Raw genomic sequence first — 7,353 nt, 5'->3', positions numbered from 1 at the left:
AGAGAAGTATGGCTCATTTTAAGAAGTAAAAAAAAATTATGGTCTGAAACTTTTTTTAGACAGCCCAAATGGTGGTCTTACAGAAACATAATATTTAAAATTAAGTTTCAGAATAAGCTAATAGAAGAAACAAAAGAACTACAAAAAAAATATGAACAAAAATTAATAAAAAAGTAAAATTATTTTGAAACCTAAAAAAATCTAGGGATAAAAAGAAAAAAATATTCACTACAGATATTTAAAAGCAGACTTGAGCTGGGGGAAGAACAAACTATCAGCAAACCAAAGAAAGGGTGTTGACATAATTAAGTTAGGACATGATAGAAAAAGTATAAAGCAATGGGAATAAAGCCTAAAATGCCATGGAACACTATCAAGCAGCCATATTACGCATACTGGAAGTTCAAAGGATGAGAAAAAGAATCAGGAAGACTATTTAGAAACAATAATGTTAAAGAATGTCAAAGGCAACAAACTCCAAGTAAGAGAAACTCAAATAAACAAACTCAAATTATATGATAATTAAACTCTTCAAAAGAAAGACAGAGAAAATCCTGAAAGCAACAAAAGAAGTGGCTAGTTATGTTACTGGCTAGTAACCCTCAAAAATAATCAGCAGATATCTTATCTGAAAACTCAGAGGACAGAAAGCAATAGATTAACATATTCCAAATGATGTGAGAAAAAACTTTTGAACAGATATCTTATGTTCAAAACATTGTCCCTTATAAGTGAGGGAGAAATTATGACATTTCCAGATAAAAGCTGGGACATTTTACCAGTAGACTATCTTTTTAAAAAATGCCTTATGGGATACTTCACGGTAAAATGAACAGATAATAAGGAGCAGTATGAATGGATATATATTAAGGTAAAGATAAATATATAAGCTATTATAAAACATAAAGAATATCAGTGTACACCTCCACAATGTGTTTCCCATGCAATTTAAAACACAAATATATTTAATAAAAATACTATCACTAACTTGCGTTTTTGACATACAGTGCATAAAGGTATGATTTTGAGAACTCAATAAGGAAATCATGGGGGTGCAGTTATACAGGGTTAAGGGATTTGTGTGTTATTGAAAGTCAGCTAGTATAACTTTAAAAGTGGAATACCTTTAGAATATTCAATGTAATCACAGTATCAATGACAATTAAAAAAGAAAAAGAGTAACAGACAGGTAGAAAGCTTTCTGTACTACACCAGAGAGTAAGAGATGTGGATTTAGCTACTCTCACTTGAGGCTACTAAGCCAGCTATCATGCACCATGAGACAAAGCCCAAGCTGTCCCACCAGGGCATAATTGTGGAGAGCCTAAAGCCCATAGCATAGCTGCTATTTCAAACAATTTTCACTACGTCAGTGGTGATGAAATAGAATAGGCTCATCCATACGCAGAACCTGGTAAAGAACTGGAGGCAGAAAGAAGTGGCTATGTGGAGACGCAAATGGAAAAAATTTGGCACAGCAATGGCTCCAATCCTGTGTCTTTCTTCCTGGCTTTCCAGGAGTTTGAGGTTGAAACTATTGTTGACAAAAGATGAGACAAAAATGGAAAGACAGAGGCCAGGCACAGTGGCTCATGCCTGTAATCCCAGCACTTTGCAAGGCTGAGGCGGGCAGATTACGAGTTCAGGAGATGGAGACCATTCTGGCTAATACAGTGAAAACCTCTTTCTACTAAAAATCATAAAGTTAGCCAGGCGTGGTGGCAGGCCCCTGTAATCTCAGCTACCCGGGAGGCTGAGGCAGGAGAATCGCATGAACCCAGGAGGTGGAGGTTGCAGTGAGCCGAGATTGTGCAATTGTGCCACTGTACTCCTGCCTGGGTGATAGCTCAAGACTTTGTCTAAAAAAAAAAACAAAACAAAACAACAACAACAACAACAAAAATTTTTGGTGTTGCAAAGGTTAAGAAGAAACGGTATGACACTTGGGAACCAGAGCAGCACCGGTCAAAAATATATATATTACTTTAACAGATGACAGACTGAAAAACAGAAAAAGTAAAAAAGTGGCATGGACCAGAACAACTAGAACTTTTTCAAACAATACCAGAAGATGAACTTCTACATCTACCAAGCCCAACTTTTCTAAGAATACTCCTAAAACGCTAGTGTCTGGCCAACACCACAAATTCAAAAGCAGCCAGTTATGTTCTGCCAGCCAGAATGTTAGCAGTAATCCAGGGTCACCTCTGTCCGACCCAAAGAATATGGAGCTACTGTGTTCAACTATCAAGAAAGACACTTGCCCCTTACAACCCTTTTAACAACAAGAACACAGTGAGTGGCATTCAGGAACTCTAGAATCTGGACCCTATTGCAGCAGATCAGCAGGATACAGTGGTCTTCAAGGAGGAGGAAGGGAAGATCATCAGGGCTTTATCAGATCCCAGGGCAGGACATTGTGGAATAGAGAGCAAGACCCAGATTCAACCACTATTTTCTCAGAGGTCTGGCTCAGTTACGGCTTCCATGGCTGCAGACTCAGCTACCAAAAAAGGTATAGTGGTATTAATGGGCCAATCGGCAGCCAATGGAAAAACAGATGTGCATACATTAGTTGCAAGAGTGAAAGTTGGGCAAAGAAATGTTACTGACGGTGGCAGAGACCAGCTTTTTATCCAGAAGATGTACCTCATCATAGGCCTAGCAGAAAGTGCCAGCACATACAGAGATATTGCAGTGAAGAAAGAGGACAGATTCACCCAGATGTGCCTATAAACTAGATCAACATAAAAAATGTACTGAATATAGAAGTAATTAAAGCAATGGTTAATGCTCTGAATAGGGCTGCTGTGGGTGGCAGCAAGCTTGTGCTGTTCAGTGCAGCTGGAAGTGTCTTTTGCTGTGGTCTCGATTTGGGGTACTTTCTGAAGTATTTAAGGAAGGACAGAAACAGAACAAGCCTTGAGATGGTGAACACCATCAAGAACTTTGTGAATACTTTCAATCAATTTTAAAAGCCTGTTTTTGTATCAGTCAGTGGCCCATCCTTTGGAATAGGTGCATCCACACTGCCTCTTTGTGATTTCTTCTGAGCTAATGAAAAGCCTTGGTTTCAAACCCCTTATATGACATCTGGACAGAGTCCAGATGGCTGTTGTGTTACTTTAGTTCCTACTTGAACTTTGCATCATCCAGCCTCCTTAATTATTGTGGCCATGAGACATTACTTCATCCCTTGATTGATCCCAGGCCAAGGTCTCAGGCCAAGCTGTCACTTCAGCTCCTTCTTGGTCCAGGGCCAAGTTCCAAGGCTGAGCCTTGTAGCTTCTACAAATCATCACTTCAGCTCCAGATGAATCCAAGGCCAAGTTTCAGGGCCAAGCCAAATAACGCCTACTCCAAGAACACTAAGCACATTTCTTTACTTCTCTGCCCTTAGAAACCGTAAAGCACAGCCTCATAGTAGGTAAACCACTCACATTTCACCCCTCACTGTGAAGAGTTTTTTACTTTCACTTATAAAAGTTTTGATTCAACCTTTTTGCATCCATCCTCCTGAATTTTCTTGGCCATGAGACAAAGAACTCTGTGTGATACCTCACAATTAGAGATTTCTAGATCGTAGTGCACTAATGAGACTGCAATGATTGAAGTCTGGGAATTGAGCTCTGGGACGCATCAGCCTTGCGAGACCAACTGACACACTGTCCCCACACTGTGATACACACCCTTGGGGTCAGTCAACCATATAGTGGTCACCAATGGAGTCTGAAAAGGGGCAAGGCAGATTTATACAGCCTAGAAACCTGAGGGACACCATCAAGCAGCCATACATACGCATTTTGGAAGTTCCAAGGAAGAGACAAAAAATCATGGATACTATTTAACAACATAGTCATAAAGAATGCAACAATTTAAGACAATAAGTAAGCACCCAAGGAGCTCAACAGACTCCAAGTAACAAAAACTCAAAGAAACAAACTCAAACTTACCTGATAATTAAACTGTCTAAAATAAATACAAAGAGAATCTTGAGGATTTTCAAGGGAAGCAGGGGAAGTAGCTAGTCATGTAAAAGGGACCCTAAAAATAACCAGTGGATCGCTTATCTGAATAACCACTGAAAAGCAGTAGATTTCTTATCTGAAAACTAAAACGATGGAAAGCAGTAGCCTAATATATTGCAAGTGATGTCAGAAAAAACTGTCAAGCCTAAACATTATGATCCACCAAACTGTCCATCAAAGGTGAGGGACAAATTATGACATTCCCATATACAAACTGGCACCTTTTACAAGTAGACTACCCTTTAAGAAATGTCTTATGGAGTACTTCAGGGTAGAATGGACAGACACTCAAAAGCAGTATGAACAAGCAAAGATTAAGGTAAAGATAAATACATGAACAAATATGTAAGATAAAAAATTTGGCCGGGCGCAGTGGCTCACGCCTGTAATCCCAGCATTTTGGGAGGCTGAGGTGCGTGGATCACGAGGTCAGGAGATCGAGACACTCCTGGCTAACACGGTGAAACCCCGTCTCTACTAAAAATACAAAAAAAAATTCGCCGGGCCAGGTGGCAGGTGCCTGTAGTCTCAGCTACTCGGGAGGCTGAGACAGGAGAATGGCGTGAATCCGGGAGGCGGAGCTTGTAGTGAGCCAAGATCGCACCACTGCACTCCACCCTCGTTGACAGGGCGAGACTCCATCTCAAAACAAAACAAAACAGAACAAAACAAAACAAAACAAAACGAACAATTAACAATGTGCACCTCCACAATTTGTTCTCCACACAACTTAAAACACAAATATATTTAATAAAAAAACTACCACTAATTTGTGTTTTTGACATAAAATCAATAAAGGTATAATTTTGAGAACTCAGTAAGTGAAATAATGGAGGTACATTATACAGGAGTAAAGGCTTTGTATGTTACTGAAGGTAAGCTAGTGTAACTTTAAAAATGTTATAACATTAGAATGTTCCATATAATCGTCATAGCAACCACAATTAAACAAAGAAACACAAAAGAGTAACAGGCAGGAAGAAAGCTTTCTGTACTACACCAGAGGGTTGGGGCTGTGGATTTAGCTACTCTCACCTGAGGCTACTGAGCAAGCTGTCATGCACCACGAGACAAAGCCCAAGCTGTCCCACCAGGCAGTAAGTGTGGAGAGGTTCAGGCACATGGCATAGCTGCTATTTCGCACAATTTTCACTACACCAGTGGTGACCAAATAGAAGAGGTTCATCCATACACAGAACCTGGTGAAGAGCTGGAGGCAGAAAGAAGTGTCTATGTGGAGACGCAACTGAAACAAAGGTGGCACAGCAACTGTTCCAATCCCGTGTCTTTCCTCATGGCTTCCCAGGAGTTTGAGGTTGAAGCTATTGTTGACAAAAGACAGGATAAAAATGGGAATACACAGTATTTGGTTCGGTGGAAAGGTTATGACAAACAGGATGACACTTGGGAACCAGAGCAGCACCTCATGAACTGTGAAAAATGTGTACATGATTTTAATAGACGACAGACTGAAAAACAGAAAAAACTGACATGGACTACAACCAGTAGAATTTTTTCAAACAATGCCAGAAGAAGAACTTCCAGATCTACAAAAGCAAACTATTCTAAGAACTCTCCTAAAACTCCAGTGACTGATAAACACCACAGGTCCAAAAACTGCAAGTTATTTGCTGCCAGCAAGAACGTTAGGAGAAAGGCAGCTTCAACTCTCTCCGACACAAAGAATATGGAGATAATAAATTCAACTATTGAGACCCTTGCACCTGACAGCCCCTTTGACCACAAGAAAACTGTGAGTGGCTTTCAGAAACTTGAGAAACTGGACCCTATTGCAGCAGATCAGCAGGACACGGTGGTCTTCAAGGTGACAGAAGGGAAACTCCTCCGGGACCCTTTGTCACATCCTGGTGCAGAACAGACTGGAATACAGAACAAGACTCAGATGCACCCACTAATGTCGCAGATGTCTGGCTCAGTTACTGCTTCTATGGCCACAGGTTCAGCTACCCGAAAGGGTATAGTGGTATTAATAGACCCATTAGCAGCCAATGGGACAACAGACATGCATACCTCAGTTCCAAGAGTGAAAGGTGGGCAAAGAAATATTACTGATGACAGCAGAGGCCAGCCTTTTATCAAGAAGATGCACTTCACCATAAGGCTAACAGAAAGTGCCATCACATACAGAGACATTGTAGTGAAGAAAGAGGATGGATTCACCCAGATAGTGCTATCAACTAGATCGACAGAAAAAAATGCACTGAATACAGAAGTAATTAAAGAAATGGTTAATGCTCTGAATAGCGCTGCTGCAGATGACAGCAAGCTCGTGCTGTTCAGTGCAGCTGGAAGTGTCTTTTGCTGCGGTCTTGATTTTGGGTACTTTGTGAGGCACTTAAGGAATGACAGAAACACAGCAAGCCTTGAAATGGTGGACACCATCAAGAACTTTGTGAATACTTTTATTCAATTTAAAAAGCCTATTGTTGTATCAGTCAATGGCCCTGCCATTGGACTAGGTGCATCCATCCTGCCTCTTTGTGATCTCGTGTGGGCTAATGAAAAGGCTTGGTTCCAAACCCCTTATACGACCTTTGGACAGAGTCCAGATGGCTGTTCTTCTATTACATTCCCCAAAATGATGGGTAAAGCATCTGCCAATGAAATGTTAATTGCTGGGCGAAAGCTGACAGCACGGGAGGCATGCGCCAAAGGCCTGGTCTCTCAGGTATTTTTGACTGGAACTTTCACCCAAGAGGTTATGATTCAAATTAAGGAGCTTGCCTCATACAATGCAATTGTACTGGAAGAATGTAAGGCCCTCGTTCGCTGTAATATTAAGTTGGAGTTGGAACAGGCCAATGAGAGAGAGTGTGAGGTGCTGAGGAAGATCTGGAGCTCAGCCCAAGGGATAGAATCCATGTTAAAGTATGTTGAAAATAAAATTGATGAGTTTTAATTGTCAGTCTGTCTGCTCAGGACACAAGAACTAAGGGGCAACAAATGCATCATGAGTTGCAAGATGCCCTAATCCATCTTCATAGCCCAAAACAATTTCACCCATAGCTAAGGCTTGGAAACAGAACTGCAAATGTCCAAGCTATGTATTTAAATTATCACATCATTTTTAAGCACTGTAGCTTTACAAGGAGTAACAAAACAGCCTCTTTGCCCAAATGTGATTATTTTAGGCACACCTAAGCCCAAATATAAAAACAGACTGTTGGGTACTAGACTCTTCTTGCAAGCTCTAATATGTATCTATGGCTACTACTATATATAAGACCAGAGTTGTGTTTTATTAGATGTTTATGACAGAGAATCCTGTAATAATGTTGATTTTTTCTTACTTTTATATCCTAGA

The 7,353-nt window shown here is 40.4% G+C and overlaps 1 protein-coding gene and 1 pseudogene across 1 annotated transcript; both read left to right on the top strand.

Annotated features, from left to right (window-relative positions):
* On the top strand, nucleotides 1,081–3,217 carry CDY6P (chromodomain Y-linked 6 pseudogene; annotated as a pseudogene).
* Nucleotides 4,995–6,955, top strand: CDY2B (chromodomain Y-linked 2B). Its single transcript, NM_001001722.2, has one exon. It carries the CDS (start codon nucleotides 5,323–5,325, stop codon nucleotides 6,946–6,948), a length of 1,626 nt encoding a protein of 541 aa, NP_001001722.1. The 5' UTR covers nucleotides 4,995–5,322; the 3' UTR covers nucleotides 6,949–6,955.
* The last annotated feature ends 398 nt before the right edge of the window (nucleotides 6,956–7,353 follow it).

This window comes from Homo sapiens, chromosome Y, assembly GCF_000001405.40.
Source record: "Homo sapiens chromosome Y, GRCh38.p14 Primary Assembly".
NCBI lineage: Eukaryota > Metazoa > Chordata > Mammalia > Primates > Hominidae > Homo > Homo sapiens.
Note: the sequence above shows the minus strand (reverse complement) of the source record. Positions and strands in the feature narration are given on the sequence as shown.

Coding starts and splice junctions, on each gene's coding strand:
- CDY2B (NM_001001722.2), top strand. CDS start 5,323: ATGGCTTCCCAGGAGTTTGAGGTTGAAGCTATTGTTGACAAAAGACAG.